General features: G+C 37.8%; 1 protein-coding gene across 8 annotated transcripts in view; it reads left to right on the forward strand.

Annotated features, from left to right (window-relative positions):
* The window catches only part of SLC4A4 (solute carrier family 4 member 4), a 509,424-nt gene that overhangs the window by 171,604 nt on the left and 314,698 nt on the right, over positions 1 to 23,122 (forward strand). For 7 of the 8 annotated variants that reach the window (XM_024454268.2, NM_001440628.1, NM_001134742.2 and 4 more), the window contains 2 exons: positions 2,313 to 2,386; positions 20,957 to 21,136. In XM_024454268.2, coding sequence (XP_024310036.1) covers positions 2,313 to 2,386; positions 20,957 to 21,136 — 254 coding nt within the window. Of the gene's footprint in view, positions 1 to 1,796; positions 1,969 to 2,312; positions 2,387 to 20,956; positions 21,137 to 23,122 lie in introns of those variants that run through there. The other variant, NM_001440629.1, reaches the window with a different exon arrangement.

The raw sequence follows: 23,122 nt of genomic DNA on the forward strand, positions 1-23,122 counted from the left end.
ACTTTGTTTCTCTGATTCACAGATATATTTCCCTCTCTCTGAAGAGTATGAGGAACATAGCAGGCACTAAATAAATATTTGCTGAACCAGTGAATATACTTTATCATTTAATCCTCATGGGAACCAGGGGCTTAGAGAAGTTGGTAAATGACTTGACTTCTTAAGTCTTTTCTTTTTTTTGAGACGGAGTCTCACTCTTTCGCCCAGGCTGGAGTGCAGTGGCGCTATCTCGGCTCACTGCAACCTCTGCTTCCTGGGTTCAAGTTATCCTCCTGCCTCAGCCTCCCGAGGAGCTGGGATTACAGGCGTGTGCCACCGTGCCTGCTAATTTTTGTATTTTTAGTGGAGACGGGGTTTCACTGTGTTAGTCAGGCTTGTCTCCAACTCCTGACCTCAAGTGATCTGCCTGCCTTGGCCTGCCGAGGGATTACAGGTGCCGGGATTACAGGTGTGAGCCACCACGGCCGGCCTCAAATCTTCAAGGAATTTTCTTTTCCACCAGAATCTTGATGGCCAACCCATATCCTGCTTGCATTCAGTTTTCTATTTTTAGTTTGAGTATAGAGAAGGAAAATGATGTATATCAGGATGGGCTATTATATACAAGGCCGATATTATTGAAAGAAGAAATCTTGCAAGTGTCCAGAGGTAATGAGTTTCTTAATGCTATTGTCCACCATTGACTGGTCAGGGTGAAAAGGAAGGAAGCAGAAAGGAAGGAAATTTACAGTAATTAAACATGTAGTATGTGCTGAGTCCTGCACTGTGTGCTTTTAGGTATGTTACCTAATTTGAATCTCAAAGCCATCAATGCATGGTTGATATTATTGTGTTGAGTCAATGCAAGGTTGATATTATTACCCCAGTTTTATAGATGGAAAAACTGAGACTTAAAAAAGCTAAAAACTTTGCTCCAGGTAGCACACTTGTTCAGTGGTAGAGCTAGATTTCTTAAACCGGGGGCTACCTGACACCAAATTTCTCACTTTTTATGTTATGATGGTTGCTTTGTGAGATGGATATGCTTCTAAAATAGTAAGGACAAAAATATGAATTCAATGCACATCCGCATAGATTATAACAAATATCTGAAGCACAAGAATAAGTTATACAGACAATATGGAAAACAGACCTACAATATTCAATGCCTGAGCATATAATTGGATGAATAGAATACAGAATGAACATTTGGTTCTCTGGCAGGGCTCATGTACGGTATGACATAGAGCAGCTGTCCCCAGAGAAAGTTCTTTGTTTCTAGACTGGTACTACACAAGCAGCATTTGAGCAATTCAGGATTTCTTTCTGCTTTCACTATAAATAGACCTCATGGAATTCTGTATATCAAAGTTAATGCAATGAAAAGGAGCTGCAGAATATGGAAATAAACCTTAACTCATTCTATAAACTAGAAGCGTGTTTGGCATCGGGAGGCCCTAAAAACGCTGTCATTCCTTGGATGGATTCTGAGGTCTTATTTAGCATATGAAATTGCAGAGTAGATCCTATTATGTAAGGAGACAGGAGGACAGCATAATGTGGTTACAAAATGAAGAACTTTGTGCCCTTCAGGGAAGAGTTAACAGGGCAGATATACATAGAGAAAGATGTGTGATAAGAATGTGGAAAATGAATGAATGGGTGGCATGTATCTGTGTGTATTGTCGAAGCCGGGTTGCTGGATAATCCTCAGATGTCAGATTTCCGTAAGGCCAGCATGTGACTCAAAGCTTGCCACTCAACAGAGAATACTGGGCTGTGCTGATATTAAGAGGCTGGCTGGAAGCTAGGCTCCCACTGTGCACTAGCCTACCTCCCTGTCGCTCTCTGCGTGTGGGTGGGTGTGCATGTGTGTGTGTGTGAGGGTATACATTTTATGCAGTGGGTGTTTAAAGAGCTAAGCACTGAAGCTGGATTTCCACAAACGATCATCACGAGCACTCCAGACACACCAAACTTCCTCTCTTGGTATTTTTTTTTTTTTTTTGCTTTCATCCTTTTTAAAAAGAATTTTAAAACCCTAAAGGGGAGAGCCCCCAACATCCTGCCTACAGGATTGGGATTATTTTCTCTTACCTGTCTATGTGGGTGCCCTCTCAAGGTTAGAACTGAAGCTATGTGGGACCGGCATATTCTCGAGCACCAGATGAGAGGAGCTGCGTGAAGCAGTAGCAGACACCAGAAGAAGAGTGACTCTGCCCTGCTAACATGAACAACAGCTTGCAGGTTAACCTGCCCAGAAGCTGGGCTGCTCCAAGTGGCTCGCTCCAGGAGAAGTCTGAGCATTCTTTTTTTCTTTTTTATTACTATAGGATGGAGGATGAAGCTGTCCTGGACAGAGGGGCTTCCTTCCTCAAGCATGTGTGTGATGAAGAAGAAGTAGAAGGTGAGCTTTATGGGTCTGGGAAAGTGTCTGTTGACATACATATGTCTCTATAGATAATAACATTCATGCATTTCATATATCTTACATTTTTAAAATGAAACACCAAACCTTTTCTATAGAGTTTCATCAATCTCTACATTTGCTTCAACACAGAAAGTAATTTTAAGAACTTCACTGGACCATCAAAATCTGATTCAATATGGGTCTTGCCTGGTTTAAAAAAAGTCTTATTTTAAAGTAAGTGCCTATGTTAGCTGTGCCTCTTCATCAAAAATAAACATTTTACCAGATAATACTAACCACCTTCCAATGACTAATTCAAGAAAGCTGCTCGATTTATATAAATATATTCAGCAGCATCTTTAATATTCTTTCTTGTAGCTTGTAGTGTAAAGATATAGATACTACAGAAGGATAATGATACCATTGTTGCAGGAGAAATGGGTTTAAGCTGAAGATGTTAAGAGTGATAATCATGGATGACTGTCAGTTAGGAAAAGATGGACAAGCATTTTTTATTTAAAAAACTTCAGTCTCTTTTGCTGATGTTTCCTAGTGCCTGTTAAAAACTAAAGAAGAGTTATGTTTTACCTGGTGCTATAATACTTTCAGCGGGCATTCCCTTTTCCTGTCTCCTGACTTATCAATAATGTGGGAATAATGCTATTTATTTGATAGAAGGCAAAGCTGAATTAATATTTATTAAAATAATTATATGAAGGCATCACAGATATATGTTATTATTCATATTTATAATGAGATTTTTAAAAATCAGGGTTATAGGCAATACTCAAAGTTAAATGAAACTTGCAGGTGAATCATGTGATCAATTCCACCATTTAAAGTCACCTGAGAGACAATTCATTTGTGTTTTGGAGATTCTGACCTGACCGGTGCCATGTGGTAAGCATTTAGTGCCAGCCCCAAACTTGAACCAGAAGGTGGTGGGCTTGGGAAAAAGAGAGTCAGTATTGTATGTTCTGGAGTGATTCTTCAAGCAGACTGAGCACCAGGTACTGGGCAAGTGATGCTCCTGTGCCACTTGGAACAGTTTGAATAGTGTGGCTATCATGTTGTTTCTCATGTTTCTTTAGTAAGTTTCTTCATCCCATGTGGTGTTAGAGGATTGGCGCCTCCACCCGCCCCCCTCAACTTCCCGCATTTATGCTCTTGAGACTGACTAATAAGAATTTGATGCCTAAGTTTCTTAGGAAAACGGAAACTACAGTATTTTCTTTCATATTGTTTTATGGGTTCCTTGCATTTTTGCAACATGCTGTGGGAAAATGTCAAGCTGGTGAAAGCAAAATAGTAAAACTTTTGTCTTAAGATTCTTGGAACCCATGATGTTAAATCATCATTTTAGTGACTCTGTCACTGTCCCAGTGTCAAAGAGGAGATACCAGCAAAGAGGAGATACAAGCAAAGAGGAGTTATAGCATATGAATATAAGAAATAATGTAGCTTTGAGCAAATAGCCTATAGTTTTAAGACAATTGAAGTAGAAAAAGCTTGGGAGTGACATATACTGTGTGCGTGTGTTTTCCTTTGAGAATAATGTTCTAGCTAGGTTCACAAGAGATGTAAATCACTTCTTGAGTTTGTAAGGTCTGTAGGATTGACAGTACTCTACTGAAATAGGATATTGTATACTGTTTCTTAAGGCTTTGACTAAAAAGTGCGTTTCCTGAACTATTTCCCTTGATTTTCAAGCACAAAATTAAGACGACAATATAAATGAATAGCACACAAATCTGTAGCCAGGATTCTTTAAGAAGAAACAGAAACACAACCAAAGGTGGTAGAAACATCTGTAAAATTCAAGAAATGTGTTGGTTTTGTGATGATTAAACCGTCCAAATGGATTTGTGTGTTTTCCTGTTTTTATGAGACCTCTATTTTAGTGACTGTCTTTCATGTTGATTGGCACCTGAGCTGACTACATTTCTTCCAAGACATGCTCAGATAGTTGCCGGTTGCTGAGTCCTGAGCCCCATAAGAAGATTGCTTATGGATTATTTTGTGGGTAACTTTCAACAGTGCTGACTGTCTTACAGTACTAGCCTTGAAATTATAGTAATTGCTCATTTGAAATGAACAAAATTGTTCATTTTTAATTTGGTGTTCTCCCAATTGACCCTCCCCCTTTTTCACCTTGCTTTATTGGTGGGGGTGGGAGGTCTTAGATTTTTATAGTAGCTCTAGGTGATAGTATAAAACGGTTGAAATGGACAGGGGTTTTTTGGCACATCCATGGTTCCAGTGATTGAGAATGAAGAAACAGACGGCCTATGTTAAGACCTCTAAGAAGTATTCACATTTTGAGGGGAATGTTTTTTCCCAAGGATATGAGTCCATCTCATATTTTTAATTGCATAGAGAAGAGTGTATCTGAAGAAAAGCAAACTGTTATCTCTATTCTAAAGTAGCTTCCTGGCACATTTATGGCAGAAGTGAATGCCTCAGTTTTAAGGGTCAGAATTCAAAAGGCAAGGAGCTGGAACACTTTATATTATTATTTACATTTTCTTTTATGAAAGTAGTTATTTCTGTTGCTTCTAGGATAAACATAGAAGTTTACAATGTTTGTAAACATTCTTGGCAAAGTCAACTTAAAATAAAACTTTGTTTTTTACAGTTATCTGCATAAATAAGATGTACTCCCAATAAGTGATTATTAAAGTAACTAAGGTCTGATAGTTCTTGTTACTTTGAAATATTTGTGCTTTAAAAGTGCTTAGGGTCCCCTAATTTGGGGTGATTGGAGTCAGCTCAACCTGAAGGCAAGAAGAGCCAGATACTCTCTCTTAGTTGCTTCGAATGCTGTGGTTCTGAGGAGAGAGACTTCAAACCACGCCCTCAGTTCACCTTGTTCAACTTTACTCTCAGTGGGTGGCATGACACTTAATCCACATTCTAAAAACTTAATAGAAAACCATCAACTGCAAAACTCACTAAGCACAGAGTGAGTCACAAGAGGAGTCATCTGTTTAAGTAATGAATTTATCTATGTGGCATATATTTAAAGGCCTAAACCTCATTGTCACATAATTTTCTTCATGTGTTAATGGCTTAAAGAGATACTCTTTCAAAATGAAACCAAGTGCCAATTTTAATCTTTAAAATAAATAGAAGCCTTTAAATCTGCTCTTCCACTGGTTACCTTGTACTATGCGTGGTTTTAAAGTTAACATTTTTAGGAGGAGAGGGGTTACTGTGGATAAACTCATTTTAAAATGTCAGTATTTCAGATATTCATATTTATTTCTTTATCAAAATGCCCCAGCTCCCACCCAGGCCCTTCCACGCTTCCACAGAATTGGTCTGTAGATGACAAATTAACATTACCAGAATGATCCATAAGTGTTGACCACGAGGAACAACCACTCACTTTTCGTTTCAAACATAGATGGGGGAAATTGCTAATTACGTAGCAATTACGTAGTGATTGCTAATTACGTAGTGAATGAAGATTGAGATAGGAAGAGTCAGTCCCAGGTAACTTTTTCCAAAAACAGAAGAAAATCCTATGGATGTTTTATTCCTAAAAAAGCCAGCCAGAATTTTGGATCTGTATGATATAAACAGATTACTTAATAGTCTCATATTTTGCAATAGGGGAAAAGAGCAAACTCCACCTTATCCTTTGAGATAAGGCTTTGGCTCTGCAAGGCTAGGTAACTCCCAGCAGGCCTTGGCAACTCTGACTTCATGAGGAGGGGCCTCTTCTTAACATCAAGTTCAACCAACAACTCAGAAAATATAAGATGCAGTAACACAGTATTGGTTGAAATGTGTCTCCATTTTTGAGGCTTGGTCAGTACTCTCCTAGAGCTATTATGCTATATTGTGCTGGTTTTCCTCTTCCATTCAAAACTTAATGCAGTGGGAAGTATGCACCCATCTGTCCCAATGGAAGAATAATTCTACAAATTCACATGTCTACTGATGGACATTAGGAGGGAGTGTTGTTGAAAATGCATGGAATTTACAGGAGGATTGTTTTCAGGAAAAGTAAAAAAAGTATGTCAGGGTCTGGGACAGGGTAGATATTCACTAATTATTTGTTAAGAGAAAGAATGAATAAATGAATGTATAACATAAACTAAATAAAGCATATGTAGAATCACTTTGTATAATACTCTGACATATTTTTTAAATTTTTTTGTTAGAAATTTGGTTCTCAAAGCCTGACGTGGTGGTCATGCCTATAATCCTAGCACTTTGGGAGGCCAAGGTGGGAGGATCACTTGAGGGCAGGAATTCAAGAACATCCCAGAAAACATGGCAAAACCCCATGTCTACAGAGAAATAAAAAAAAAAATAGCTGGGTGTTGTGCATGCCTGTAGTCCCAGCTACTCAGGAGGTTGAGGTGGGAGAATCGTTTGAGCCCAGGAGATCAAGGCTACAGTGAACTGTGATTGTGTCACTGCACTCCAGCCTGGGTGACAGAGTGATACCCTGCCTCAAAAAAAGAAAAGAGAAAAGGAAAAGAAAAAAGAAGTTTTGTTATCTTAGTACTCTTATTCTAATGAAATGATATAGCCTCTCATCTTATCCTTGGTATTACTCCTGCTTGATTTTGCAGAGATCATTATCATACTTATATCATTTATATATTTATACTGATAAGAAAAAGAAGGTCCTAAACACCTCTGCTTTATCAAACTTTTTCATTCTCCTACTCTGTTTTTTGAAGAGAGAGACTAAAATAATGAAATGGTGGCTTTTGTCTTTTTGGAAGTCAAGACCTCAACATTTTACAGACATGAAATCATGACTTAAACCTATTTCTTGCTAGAGGATATGATGATCATCTACTCGTGTACTGGAGAAGGTAGTATTTTTTTCTAAAAAAACTGGGGCCTGGTAGACATTTTTTAATTATTACAATGGTATAAAACGTAATTTCTGAGAAGGAGTGAATGAAAACCTATCGGATGGGCAGGGAGGGGCCAAGTTGGGACTGGGGCTATTCTGAGCGCTGGATATAAGTGTCCGGTTGCATTTTGCTGACCTCTTCTCTGCTGTTCACTCTAATTGCTCAGAAAAACAGTGTGTACAGAGGAAACTCTTGGGCAAATACTGCTAAAGGAAAAGCCTTCTTAAAAGGAAACAATGTATCCACACATTGGCCCACTTTAAAGAAATACAGTGAGGTTTTTAAAAGTTGGTACTTGAATAGTAACATAGGTTTCCCAGAACAGGTTGAGCCCATACAGACCTTTCCCAGCTTCCTGCTCCTTTCTCCTCATGGCCTCAGCTGAACGCTGGCCAGAGGTCCTCAAGTATGCAGCACTTAGCTCTGTAGCTGCCTGACATCTCTTGCTGTGTCAGGGAAGTTAAATATTTATATATAGATTTCTTTCACTTCAAGGAAGGCTGATGATAGTTCCGTGTGTTTTTGAAACTAGAATCAGACATTTCTTCTGAGAATTTGAGAATTTTCCAACTGCAGAGAATTCCCTGGTAGTATAGTATCGGCCAAAGCCCTCTTGAAGCCATTTCCTATCCTAGGTGTTGGTGTTCTTTGATGGCAATAAGCCATACCAAATTGCACGTGGTACTTGCATTGTGTTTGGCAAGGATCCAGAAATTCTGAAATAGTACACTTATAGCAGTTTTGCCTATAGATTGAGCTTCTTTTTAGAAGCTTTTTATCTGGTCATATTAGTGAGACATGTTGTTTGATATTTATTTTGGGGAGTCTCTATTGTTTATTTTATTCAAGTGTTGTCAAAGCAGAGGCACTAAGTATCAGTTTGAGAATAAAAATTTAAAACTTGCTCTATTGCCAAATCATTGCATAGGTGAAGGAAGCAACTTATAGTTTAGATTATGGGTTTTTCTCTTTGTAAAATGGGAGCAATGGAGCATGTCATTCACCTTAGAACTCTTAAGAACTTCCAACAGCAATTGCTGCTGTACCTGGCATTAGGAACAGGAGTGCTTTATACTCCACCACTGTCTGTTGTTTTTCTTTCTGATGGATACAGCCTCACCAATAATTTTCTTTGGTTATTATAATCTTCTTTGGTTATTATAATTTTCTTTTAATTACTTAATTAATTATTTTCTTATAATTTAGTTATTATAATTTTCTTATAATTTTATATAATTTTCTTTGGTTATTATAATCTTTTCTACAAATCGTAACTGGTGTAAATATTGTTTACTTGCTTAATTCATTTCTCCCTACATCTAGCCTTTGCCTTCCTAACCATACTTACCTACTGCTTCTTATATTGGAAAACTAAAGCCAGAATGATCCATTGAAACTTCCCAAGGCTTACTCTCTGTTTGCCTTTGGACTCATTCTCATCCTTTAAGCTCTGGGTATGAAATCTAATTTTCACAGTTAGACTGCTCTGATACACATTATCCTTAATTTGTTAAATTGTCTTTTTTTCCAAGAAGAGGGATATTAACCATAATTGTATACTGGGTAAAACGCAAATCTTGTCCATTGTATAATAAAGCCTGCAATGTTGCTTCATTTGGAAAATGGATTCAAGAATGTAGTGTTTTTCTGCGAGTGAGAAGGATTCAAGAGTCTAGTATGTGTATATGTATTTAAACATGCATATAGAAATGCATTTCCCCTTGTCTGCCACATAGACTAGAATACTTCTGCTTCCTACTGGCCATTATGTAATTTAGGTGCCAATTAAATGAGATTATGCAACAGTATGGAAATACTACTATATATTCTAACCTGAACTAAATATTTCCCCTTTTTTATCACCATGAGATTAGAAATCATTGGGAGAACTGAGAATTGGGCCTGATGAGAATGAGTAAAATAAGAATATAATAAAGATCAGTTGAGGCTTTCTTGTTGCTGTCATGAGCTTGCTGGTGAGATTTTATTTTATTTTGTTTTATTTTATTTTACTCTTTTGGCTGATTGCATTTAGGTGACTGAGGTGAGAGCCTGCAATGGCATAGGTTCACGGGAGGTTCCAACATTCATCCCTGGATCTGCTGATTGCCAGGTGGGATGAAAGGTGAAGGTAGTGAGGGTGGTGAGTGACATCCACTGAATCAGCAGTATAGATGACTTAAATAATTCATTTCTCTGAATAGCTGAAAAGTTTTCAAATCTGGTAAATTGTTTCTGCCTTTCCATAGAGTTAGAATTAGAAGGCAGCTATCCAAAGGGCTATATCCAATGTGTGTACCTTTCTTCATATTCTGTTGATTTTTGGAAGAACAGACTCTACTTAGACCTCATGAAATATTATTTTAGTGACTATTTTCATGGTGGAATGCTCAGTAACTTTTACCAGGCCAAAAACTTCCGGGAATAAAAAGAGGTTTTAAATTTTAGTAACATTGGCCAGTATATCAGCTTTAGAGGAATGGAATTACATTGTTATAGATGGGTTAAATCACTACCCAACCCCCAATTGATTATTAAATTTTCAACAGGAAATTTGATTCCTACTGAAAAATAAAGAAAATGTCTTCAAGGTAGAATGAAAGCCCATGATTGAATCTAATGGATACGTGTGTTTGACAAATTAAATTAGTATCTGATTATTCAAGTTTTTACTCGCTTTTATTCCTTCTGTTCTATGGTTTAGAGAACATGGTGGTGGACCAGTAGTCTCAGGACCTTTTTCTGTTCCTGGTCTGCCACTGCCTTTCTGCATAATACAAGGCAAATCATTGTCATGTGGTTATGGTTCCTTCATGCAAAGTGCAGTGAGTAACCCATCTTCTTAGCCACCTACTAGAAATGCTCTAAGAATTTTTGGATAATACCTGAAAAATACCTTGATACTTCCAGTAAGCCATTAAGAAGTTACTTAATTTCTGAATCTCAGTTTTTTGTACAAGATAGAATTTGCACCTCTCATCTCCTACTTTTTTCTAGGAATATAAGTAAAGCAATTTGAAATCCCCCAGGATTAACCGCATAAATTTAAGGTATTATCTCCCTTGCAGGTAATTGTTGTATGTAATTTATCTTTATGTGCAACACTTTCTCACCAGTGGTTGCTGTGACTGCAGAACACTTTCACACTAAAGCTAATACTAATATCTGGTAATCAACAGATTAGTTGATTAGTACTTACGTTAACTCTTCTTACTAAATTTAAGTAACTGATGGACCATGCTTTTTTTTTTTTTCTTTAAGCCGATCAAAATGGTAAGAACAGTTGCAGGTGTGACCTCTAATATGTTGCTTTTCCAGGCTTATGTGTATCATTGAATGTGATAACATTGTAACTAGGACCATGATTATTGTTTAGTCAAATAAACCAGCCATTATTTAAGGACACAAGGTTAGTTGACATGGTAATTTTAGAGATGTATCACATACGTAGGTGAGTTTACATGGAAGGCCAGGGAATATATCTCCTACAGAATAACATTAAATTGAGACCTAAAAGAGGAAAAGGAATTTGCTAGGTGAAGAATCAGGGAAGCATTCCAGGCAGGCATGTGTGAAGGTCCAGAGGTGAGAAAGAGGTAGGCCCATTTGAGAAACAGAAATAAGGCTACAGTAGCTGGACCATGTGAACAGGGGGAGAGTTCTGAGGTGGATAGGACCCAGATAACTCAAGGTCTTTTATGTTATGCTAAATATTAGCATTTTATTGAGTGTGCACTAAGGAAACATTGCAGAAGGGTTTTAAGCAAGGAAGTGATAAGACCAAATTTGTATTTTAGAAAAGATTCCTTTGGCTGCTGGATGGAGACAGTGTCCCAAGAGGGCAAAGACAGAAGTGTGGGGGCTGTTGCCAAGATTCAACTGAGAGATGATTTTGGGTTGGACAAGAGTGGGGACAAAAAAGATGGAGACAAATGTGTTGAATTGATGGGTGGATGTATGGATGGGGATGGCTGCTTCTGGATTTCTGTTATGAGCAATTTAGGGGATCATGTACCATTTTGTAAGATGGGGAACAGTGGAGGAAGAGTGGTGGGGGATGATAGGAGTTTAGCCTTTTGTATATATTGAATTTGAAGCACCTGTGAGATACCGCAGTAGAACTCTGAAGCCGGTAGTTGACTATACAAGCAGGAACTAAGAAGAAAGGACAGGGATGGAGATATAAATCTGGGAGTCCTAGGCATATAGCTAGCATTTAAAGCCATAGGAATGGATGATATTGCCCAGGGTCAAAGAATGGAGTGAGAAGAGGACTCGATTGGACTCTGCAAGTGCCAACATTTGGAGATTAACAAAGTGCAGTCATAGAAGTAGGAGGAAAACTGGGAAGAGGGTGAAGCCTCTGAGGCCGAGAAGAGGGCTTTTAATAAGGAGCTAGCAATTGACAGTGCTGAATGCTGCCTTGAAGTCTGGTAAGATGAGGATTAAATAGTAGCTACTGGATTTGGCAAAAAGAAGGTGATTGGTAACTTTTGTTAACAATGTGGGTGTCATGGTTAGTTGGGAATAAGAGTGCCCAAGAGAAAACTATCATTATGAGAAGTTAGGAAGAGACTTTGAGGTGATGCTGGAAAACGTTTAGCCTTTCCCTCTATGTGCTCCACTTCACTTAACTAATTAAAACATTTGGAATTATTATAGATGTTTTAGAACTAGAAAGGATCTTAGAGAAAATTTAGTTCAATAGGCTAGAGGAACCATGAAGAAGTTAAATGATTTCCTCGAGGTAACCTTGGTAGGAGTTGGAATAACTAGGACAAGGATCCACGTGTTCTGACTTTCCCAAGGCTGTGCTCATCCCAAAAGAGTGTGCTTGAGGTTGACTCCCTCTGCAGAGGAAAAGGAATTTAGGTAGGGAGATGGATGAGAACTAGGAGAAGCACCTGGAAGAACAGGAAGTGGAAAGACCTGAAAGGAATAAAAGGTGTTGAAAGAGCTTACAGAGAGGTGAGAGGGAAAGAAGACATAAGACTGGCTGCAGCATTTGAATGACCCCTGGTAGTAAGTGGGAAGACAGATGTCCCAGCTAGAACATTGTCATATTTTGGAGCAGTTTATGGAACTAAGGGTGGTGGATTTCAATTTGTCATTCTGTATCTCTAAGACAAACATTTCCAGAGAATCCTGAGCCCATTTTTCCCTTCTCAATAATTACTAACTTGAAAGGATTAATCGTTATTATTCTTTTGGCTGTTTTTTCCAGACAGTGGAGGATGGGAGGGATGGGTGGAGGACTGGTACCATGATAGTGGAAAAATGGGAAAGGAAGGCTTATATATCCAGGGGCACTAGGAGTCCTAGTCTCTATACGTCATTAATTGCCTATTTGACTTTAGTTAGATCACTGGTAAATGAAGAGGCTGAACCGGTTAAAGTGATTTTTAGGCCACTTTAAAAGTGTGATTATGTGCTGCTGTGTCAATGAATGTCGTCCCTCTTTTTCCTGGGTGCATGTGGAAAACCACAGTATTGAAGATTCTGGGATTCTAGGTTAACAGAAGTCTCTCATAGCATTTTTCCTAGTTCTGGGTAATTGTTATAGCCCTATGGTATTATCTACATCTCATTTACCTACATATGTGTATATGAAGGAAGGGAATAATGTGAACTTTAATATTTATATTTTATAACAAATATAAATTAATATTTAATATATTAAATATTTACATCAATATTTTATATAAGATATAATATTTAAAAATATGTTCATCTACTAATACAATATAAGATATATAACCATATGTAATATTTTGCATATATGATATATAATTATGATAATAGATTAACATATATTAAAATATATAATATTTATATATTATATTAAATAGTTGATACCTGATTAGCCATGAGTGTATTGACTATATTGCAGATTACCTGTCTATAGCAACCAAGGACCCTTCATCCTATTGCCCAGCCAGGGCTTAGGCCACTGCAAAAAGAGAAGCCATAATAGAGTCAGAGATGGACAATGTGGTTGGAATGAGAGTGTGAACGTGTGCATTTATGTGTCTCTCTAAGCTGCCTCTCTGGCTGCAATTGCAAATCCAGTTATCAATGACCACTGAATTAGCTATTGTTTTTTTATCTTCCAACCCTACTTCCCATTCAGTTGTGCAAATGGTGACCAAAGAGAAATGTTGGAAACTGTCAGTTCTCTGTGTTTGGCTCACAGGTGGATTTTGTCTGACAGCATGTGTACTGCATATTACAATGCAGTAGCCCGTGTGGGGTGGTTCTGGGTGTCGGGATAAGTGGAGGGTTCATGTCTTCCCGTTGGGTGGCTTCTGCTCACTCTGAGCACTGTTCTGCCTAGTGCTGGACTTCCTAGGCCTTTTGGCTCTATTCTGTCTCGTTGGAGCAAGTACAAGGACTTACAGACCTGTTTCCTGCAGATTGGCAGTGAGCCATTGAAAGCTCTGGGGGAAACTTTGCCCAAATCAGGGTGGAGATTGCCAAGCCCTTGCTTCTGGACAGAGTTAGGGAAGATTGAGGTTATGGAAGGTGCTGCCTTTGTTGAAGAGCTCAACTCTGTAGGATGGCTAAAACTGCCGATTAAGGGACAAGTTAAGAATAGGTCTGAGGTTGACTCTTTTGCCCTCCTCTAGGTGAATGTTCTGGAGAACAAAGAGTGTTCACAAGTTAGTTATTATCAGGGCTGGAGGTGGGTGGGAATGAGAAAAAACTGTGCTCTGTTTTTTTCTCCTTTGAAAAGGGAAGGGAGAAATAGGATCAACATTTATGCAGCACCTTTGTGTACCAGACACAGTGGGAGACTATGTTTAATTCAGAATGTGCATTAAATAAATATATATTTATATATAATCTCTCTATAAAGATTATATAGAGATAGATATATAGATATTTGTATAGGTAAATTTATATCTATATAGATATAATTATATAGATATAGATACATTTTGTATCTATAGATATGAAAGATTTTGCTAGAGCAAAGTTAACATTATTTTGGAGAATCAACTTTGAAGATTGAAAAGCTCTTCAGGAACTGCAGTTTACATAGGGTAACCTGATTTCTAATTTTGTTAATTCCTTAAGGTAGATTCCTGAAGTAACTTTAAGGGGAAATTCTTGTTTTTCTAGCTAAGATCTTTTCAAATAATTGATGATCACTGAACATAATAAAGTTGTATTTCTATAAACATATTCACTAATTCAGACTTTATAGAGTGCCAGTCAGTTTTTGCCTTTACTATCAGCCATTAATAATGGAAACTTCAAAGGAAGCTTAACTTCAGTATGTGGTCTTAGGCGCCTCACCTTCATCTAAGACTATAATTAATAGAACTGTTTTATTAAAAATGAGCTCTTGGAAGACAGATGCATACGTTTGCTGAGCTAAAGGACAGGAGTCTAGCTAACAATCATAAGCTTGTGTCTCCTTTGAGACCTTTTATTCTGTAGCTCTTAGTTCTTGCCTAGAGATTGTTATCACTATTATTATCATCATCAAATATTAAATATTAATAGTGCTGTGCTCAGTGAACATCAAGTAACAAGCTAAGATTTCTTATCAGTCTTGCTTGGGGAACCTCAGGTTGCCTTGAGGATTTCTGGGAGGCTTTCAGTATATAAAATTCCCATGCAGTTCAGTGGGAAGAAAAGTATTTCCCTGTTTTTCATCACATTTGTCATTTGCTTGCATGCCTGGTCCTGTGTAATAGGTAGCGTTAAAATTAAAATAAATTACTTATCAGTATTCAAAATTATCTATACATAAATGACATATGTAATACGTAATTATCTATTAATAAACACATTATTTTTTATGTAAAAAAATTGCCCTTATCCATATATAAAAATAGAAATCATCCCTTGTTCTGAGTCTGGACCCTCATGCAAAATTTCATAAAGGGCTGGTTTACCCCCTGGTAACTGCAAAATTATGCTGTGCTTTTTGAAGGGGGTTTTCTTCTCATGAGCTGGTATTTATACCAGTAAATTAGCAATGTTACTTTGCTTGTATCTTATTAGAGCTGCTTATGGACACTCTTATGGGTTTGAGAATAATAAGCTAACAAATTACTTGTATTTTGGCTGAGCGTGGTGGCTTGTGCCTGTAATCCTAGCACTTTGGGAGGCCGAAGTGAGTGGATCACTTGAGGTCAGGAGTTCAAAACCAGCCTGGCCAACATGGTGAAACCCCACCTCTACCAAAAATACAAAAAAACTAGTTGGGCATGATGGCACATGCCTGTGATACTCAGGAGGCTGAGGCAGGAGAATCACTTGAACTGGGGAGGCAGAGGCTGCAGTGAGCCGAGATCGTGCTACTGCACTCCAGCCTGGGCAACAGAGCGAGACTCTGTCTCAAAAAAAAAAAAAATCACTTGTATATTATTAAAGTGTTTAGGATTATACATACTTGTCCATTTCTTGTTAAATAAAAGTGTCAACCACACAGTGTCCACTGTGCCTGGACTTGATACTGTAGTTTGGTTTAAGTTTTCTTATGCATATACTTTTAACTGAGATTTTTTTTTGGTCCAACAAGTAAAGTCTTTGCAGCATCTTTTTATAATCTGTCACTCATCCAGGGTCTCCGCCTCTTCTACATTTTTCTTTTCTTAATAAAAAAAAATAAATCTCTTAATTTTGTTCTACCTACATTCCTCTTGGCAATAGCTACAACATGTCTTGGGCATCTTGGCAGAAGACCAGGTTATATTAGATAAGCCAGGGAAGGCAGTATTTAACTCATATTTTGGGAATATTGCTGATTAGTTCTGAAAGAAGTATATAAAATGCTGCATGTTGTAGAATCTTTGCTTTGAACTGGAGAGAACAGAAATTCAGCTGAAAGAGTAAGAGTGTGGCTATAAATCAAATCTGGAACATCCCTCAGTGTTTAATTAGAGATGTATGTAAGAGGCTGGAGGTAGGGGATGGATGGTGGGAGGTGGGGAAAGGTAGACTTCTGGGTAAAGATTTTACCTGTCCTTTGGTGATCCTTTAGATAGAATACAGTACTGACATATCAGGTTAAAAAATTATATACTACCTTATTCCAAAAAGCTTTAGGGTGAAGGGAAAGTAACTGTTGAAAAGTTGGAAGAATGAGGTTGTGTATAAAATGCACGTCATGAAACTCTATATGCTCACTACGGGTTTGCCTAAAATTTGTCTATTCTCTTGTTAGCAGCCAATGAGGAAGGTGACATAATAAGTTATTAAATTTATGATATAAATATAGTATGTTTTACAGAACACACCATCAAAGTAGTGATGAAGCACTGTACTAGTCTTGATACTGAGAACAGAGACATATTTCTCCTGTGGGGTTTTATGAAGAGAACACTTCATACAAAGTTAAATGGTTATAATGTCCTTGGCTTCCTCAAACTGTGGTTTTTGCACCTGTACAATGGGGATAGGAGCAGGATTGCATGAGGAGGTAGATATAAAACACCTCGCAGTGCTTGGCATGCTTGTAAGTATTCACTAAATAGTTGCTATCATCTGTATGTACAGTAAACACAGCAACATGTTTCCCAGGAAGGAGCTAATAGATGTATCTTACATATAGAGGCATATGTTGTTAACCATCCACTCAGCTATAGAATTTGTAGTTTGGCTGATCTAAAACCCTTTTCTGGCTTGAAGGTTTTCATACTTCAAAGTGTTAAATCATCCTTGGTAGCAAAATGTGTATTTGTGAAAGCCACCTTAATTTGAATGGCTCCAGAGTTACTAAGTGTAAGTTTTTTGTTTGCCAGAAAACATTGTAGCAACTATGAGAAGTATGAAGTTAGGTTAGAAATATTTCAGGAATTGGGATAATTGGATGAGTTAACATCATAGTACTTCCTACTTGCAACTGGGGTGGAGCATGTAAGGATGGGAAGAAACAAGAATCACGTAGTGATCATTTCTGACATTCAGAGATACCCAGGAAAGCCATGTTTTCTTTCCAGTAGTACTGGCTGTGGTACGGATTGGGAGATATTCCCAAGATATTTAGAGTTTGTTGGGAACTTGCACCATCTGTCAGAGAAAGGCATGCAGGGTATTTATTTGAACACATGATACTGAAGCCACTGCCAAATCAAGGACTGAATGCTCTTTGACAGCACACCTAAATGAACACTGTCAAATGTAGATTCCAGTAGTTTTACTTCATGAAGTTTCAGTAGCAAGAATGTAACATTTATTTTGATAACATTTAAAACGATCACTTCTTCCTCATACATTATAGCTCTTAAAATTTTTTCCACTCCTCCTTTTTACATTATCTTTGGAAGCAGTATTTCCTGAGTTTTCTAGTGGAGAATTTTTTTTTAGCCTAAAAAGTTCTGTATAAGAAGCAGGTTAACTATCCCTGATTCTTTAATGGTCTTACTGTTTTGTAGTCCCTTGCTGGGTTGGAAAGCTTGTCTGTCAAGTTTCTCCTTTTCATATTACAGGGAAAACAATACTATATCCTCAGCTTTGTGACTCCCCTAAGAACTTGCAGTCATTTTATGAGTTATAATTTTAAAAATAGTCATCAGTCTTCATGACATATCCCTTAAACAGGTAAAGAGATTTTAATGAAAATAAATATTGAGATCCACATGTGATGTTCTCATCAATCATAGCATATTTTCAACAGTAATGATGCTTCTATTGATCATGATGACAGATATTCTGTGGGGGCAGTGAGAAAGCTTCCATTACAGCTCATTTTACTTTCGGTGTTTTGGTTACTTGGCACATATAGCTTATTAAGTATTTGATTGTCCCTTTGAGACAGCATGTCTGTATTACCCCATCCACCAAAGCAAGGCTATCTTGCTCTCTTCTTATAGGCAAGGAAGCTGAAGTGAGAGAGGCTGAGAAGTAACTGATGGAGCAGAAAGCACTGTCCCTGAGCCCCTCAAGGTTTGCTTAACCATGGAACTATGTTCCTTGTCCTCTACCTGAACACAAGACAGAAAAGGAAAATTTAGTTACCAATCACATGTGAGAGGAGGAGGATGCTTTAAGTTTTGAATTGCTCAGCTCAGTGGCTTGATTTCCTCTGGCAGTTGTTGGAAGGCAATATCTTCCTCATCCAGGGAATATTGTATTTTATTGTGCTGTAAGGATGTCTACAAAAAGTTCATTGCCATATGAGTACTAGAGAATGGTAGCTTCGCAGAGGCCATCACTAAGAGTTTTAAAACGTGGTCAAGAGTGGTTGCATTAGACAGGAGTGGGAACAGAGAGTGACTGCAAATGGATATGAGGGATCTTTTTGGATTGGTGGAAATGTTCTAAAATTGGATTATGATGATCGTTGCACAACTCTGTAAATATACTAAAATCATTGACTGTATCATTAAAATGAGTGGATTTTATTGTTTATAAATTACACCCCAGTAAAGGTGATTTTAAAATGCCTAAAATTTGGCATGTCTTGAGAGGAACAACATTTCTGCTTGACCTCTGGGCACCATAGCACTTCACAGTGCAGTGTCAATTCTGAACGCTCCCACACCTGTGTGGAAGTGCACAGGGAAAACCAAGAAGGAGGAGTTGGAGGAAATGGGGATAGACAGAATCTGTTGCTGAGAGGATGCCTATCATCACGATGTGAACAAAATGGCACCACTTATGTGATAATGACAACTCAAAGTAGGTTCCAAAAAGTCAAGTGCATTTCTCTCCAGGGTTTGATGGCTCACTCTCTGAACTGGCCTAACTCTTTCATTAGATTGACCATGATGACACTTCCTAGCCAGTAATCTTACCTTAGCATCTTATCCACCCATATAGACTGTCTATTAAATGATTTGATCAAATGTACTATGCAGATTTGGGTAAATATAATTTAAAAAACCTTTCTATATAACATCATATGGCAATATAGCTTAATTACCATTTTTTGCTTAGCCGCCATATTTAATAAGGTGAATAGAAAATATTTAATGTGATAGGTTTAAAAAAATTTTTCAACCTCTTAATTTGTGTGTGTTTTCTTGAAAACAACCAAGCATTTCGTGTTTGATTTATTGAAGCAATTGGTTGGCTTTGCTCACTTACATTGTTAAGACTTGAGATAAAACTTCAGGACTCCCTCAGTAACTGGAGCACAGGAAACAATTGACACTGTTTCTTAATTCACATTGTTTCTGAGACATTTCCTACTTCCTAGTATAATATAGCTTTCCCATGAGAACCATTTGCTTGCAAATGGTTACACATGATAGATACACTTCTCACTGGCACACATTCTGTGGGGAGAATTTCACTGTGTTTTGTAGTAGCTGAGTTGCTGCGTGTGTGTTGGGAAGGAGGTCCTGCTTTATGTAAAGATGCCTCCAACTTCATTCAAGCATCTGATGTCTTCTTTTGAATACTAACCCATTCACTTAGGTTCTGCATTGCTTAGCTGGAATATCTTTCCTGAAGGAGCATATAATTCTTTGAAGCCTGCCAATTTAAGGAAACACCCCTGCCAATTATGGTGTTTTTAGATATACCCCGTAGGTTACTGTGGAAAGTAGTTCATGACAGTTTGTATCATACATACTGTATGTACATGTATTTGCATGTAGGTACGTGATATTGGCTGTGGCATTGCAAAGTTGTCATCAAGGAATAATTCCGGAAATGGGAAATAAAACCCATAGATGAGAAAATCTAATCTAATTTGCAGTTCAGACAAAAATGTTCACATTATTTCTCAAATGGTAGTTCCTAAAATACAGAAGTTATGCTGTATTTAAAGTGAAAGTAGAAGTTTTTCAATTTAAAAAATGATGTGGAACTTTGAGTTTCTTTCTTTTTTGTCTTATTAGATTTTGTAAAAATAATACCACTTGTCAGTTTTGCAGCTCCTTCCATCTAGAGAGCTGAAAGCATTTCACAATCTTTTTTCCTCATGCCCTTCTCTTCAAGGCAATTTTTGCTGGGCTCGGTTTATTTTTATCATTGCAACAACCAGTTTTTAGAAACTTTTGGAAATGAAAAAAGAAAAATGAGAATGGCACTGTAGCTGACATTCATTTTAGCTGTTTCCTAGTGTGAACGTTTGAGTATTTCTAAAATCTTTTCTCCAAGTATGTCTTATTTTTCTCAGTTTGTCCCAGTTCTAAGTCTCTATTTTGCTGATTAGGTAAAAAAAAAAAAAAGTTTTAATGTAAAGCCTTACCCCCAGCAAAATGACTTTTTGAACTTTGATAAATCTTTATTTTTGCAGCGCCAGCAGCTCCTTTTCCAGCAGGCACTAACCCTACCCAGTATAATCATAGACTCATGTAAGGCTGAAACTGGAGGGCCCTCTAGGGATTACCCAGTTTAAGTCTCTCCTTCTAGAAATGATGAGAGGCCCAGAGTGGTTAAGAGATACATGCTTAAGGTCAGACAACTAATTGATGGCAGAGTATGACAAACATGAAGGATTCCTGATTTCCAGTTTGATATTCCTTGGTTTTCCTAAACAAAAGTAGTCTATCTGGACAGAATTAGAGTACACTCTCACAGAGTCCTAGTGTCAGCCACTAGCTTGAATTATACTGAAGCTAATTGAAAATTGGGAGGAAATTTTATTTTTCTAGAGTTTGCCAAATATAGAATGGTAACGTTGAATTTATAGACATTTTCTTCTGATCTGTGTATCTTGTGCAATTTGTCTGCAGTAGAGAATGTGGTTTGAACTGACTGGTGATTTGTGTACCTTCCTTAGGCCACCATACCATTTACATCGGAGTCCATGTGCCGAAGAGTTACAGGAGAAGGAGACGTCACAAGAGAAAGACAGGGCACAAAGAAAAGAAGGAAAAGGAGAGAATCTCTGAGAACTACTCTGACAAATCAGATATTGAAAATGCTGATGAATCCAGCAGCAGCATCCTAAAACCTCTCAGTGAGTACTCTCTGAGCGTTGGTGCCTCTCTCTGCCTCACTCCCACATCTTTGAGAAGGACACCTTTTTGAATCTTGTGGCTAAAGGGGAGGGACACTGTAATACTGAGATGTTTAGAATCTGTTCTAAAGGATAATGTCTGTGGAGATGCTTTGCTTGTACCAGCAGGTTAATCTAGGAGGTCATCTGGTAAGATTCTGAGTTGATCAGAAAAGGCCTGACTAAGTTTAGGCATAGCTGTGTATTCTACATTTTTATGTGTAATAGGGTAGTATTGCAGATGGTATTTAACTACAGCAATAAACAGTAACTGGAAGACTCTTAAAGAATTTTTTGCATGGTTTATGCTTAGAAATAGGTTCTGTTGAGACAGCAGGTGAAGATGAGAGTGTATGTCTATATATTTACATATCTTACCAAATGTCAGCATTACAGGTGACATAAAACCAGGTTATGAGTCAGGTCAGTGATTTAAATAGGAATTGTGGAAAATCATCCTGTAAGAGAGATCTGTAGAGTGACACAGTTGTTAAGATGTTGAATGTATTAGATGTCATACACTGGATAAAAGTGTTACTAAGAGCAGAATAGCAGGAGGTCAAAGAACACCCTTGAATTCAAGTGATAGGATAGGCTGTGTGTTTAGATGTATGTTTATGTTGCTTTTTGTTTCTTTAATGTGGAGAATATTTGGCTACATGGGCCAAATATTGTGGCTGAACTGAGAATGAATATGTGCAGTAGAAACACATGCCAATTTTGGAAGATTCCCCAACAGGAGTTACACAGTGACAGCTTTTCATGTTGGCAGAGCTCTGTACATTCTTCATGTCTTTGCTACAGTTGCAGAAATATGGACCCTGCAATAAAATGCATTATGGATGGCACAGATAAAGATCGGGTTCAGTCATTGCAGTTGATGACAGGCCAAATTAGAATGAACAGCTCAAGGGTGTTGAAAAGTGAATTTACAGAGTTAAATTAAAGAGGGTGTGAGGCATAGTGATGTGAATTTTTTATAGTCTCACCGTTGGAACTGAGCAGGTGGCTTAGGAAGCTAGAGAAGTGCGGTGCTAAGAGGAGAAATACAGGTGGACCATCGAATTAAAGACAGAAGCTTGGAGGGGAGCTTGAGATGGATCATGAAATCTAAATTAAAAGCATTGAAATAAATTTAAGACTTAGAAGGACCAGAAGGCAGGAGACTCAAGTTATGTACTTTTCACTGAAGTACTGGGGGAAGGTCTGTCTGAAAGGGATCCTTTACATATCGATTAAGGTAGTGGAGTCTGTTTTGAGAAAAGGCCTTAAAATGCACATAAACATGGCACAGTTAATAGTCTGGAGGAACAAAAGATAACATTCTTTTCCAAATAAATGACTACCATTTATCTTGATTTACTCTGTATCCATCTGTCAAGGCCTGAGCCAGTGTCAAGTGTTCTGTCCATTGTGCATGTGATTGTCTACTCTCTCTCTTTCTCTCCTCTCTGTGTCTTTTATAACTTGTCTTTCATTCTTCAGATTAGAACAAGAGTGCATCATCACTATTAATGTTAAAAAGTAAAGAGGTGCTCACCTAGACAAATAGGCCCAGGAATTTTGAGATTAAAATTATATATCAGCTTTTGAGAAGGGCAGTGGAAACAGTGCCAGCAGCACTCAGATAGGTCATAAGGAATGAACAGATCAGGAAGATGCTGAGACCGCATGTGTATCAACCATAGAATACTGTTGCATTCTGTGGCATTTGGGGACCAGTTTGAATACAGCATTTAAAATAAACAAGGCAATCCATTCTCTTTCCCCTCAGAGGTTTCTTCCTGGGGGAATACTGCATTATGTTGTATACTGGTTTTCTGAAGGGATCCTATGGAGAGACAGTTGTTAAGGACTAAATTGTTCAGTGATCATAAAAAAATTATTTATAAGTATGCATTTTACCGTTTTGTTCCTGCTGATCAATGTTATACACTAATATGCCTT

Source organism: Homo sapiens, chromosome 4 (genome assembly GCF_000001405.40).
Source record: "Homo sapiens chromosome 4, GRCh38.p14 Primary Assembly".
Lineage (NCBI taxonomy): Eukaryota > Metazoa > Chordata > Mammalia > Primates > Hominidae > Homo > Homo sapiens.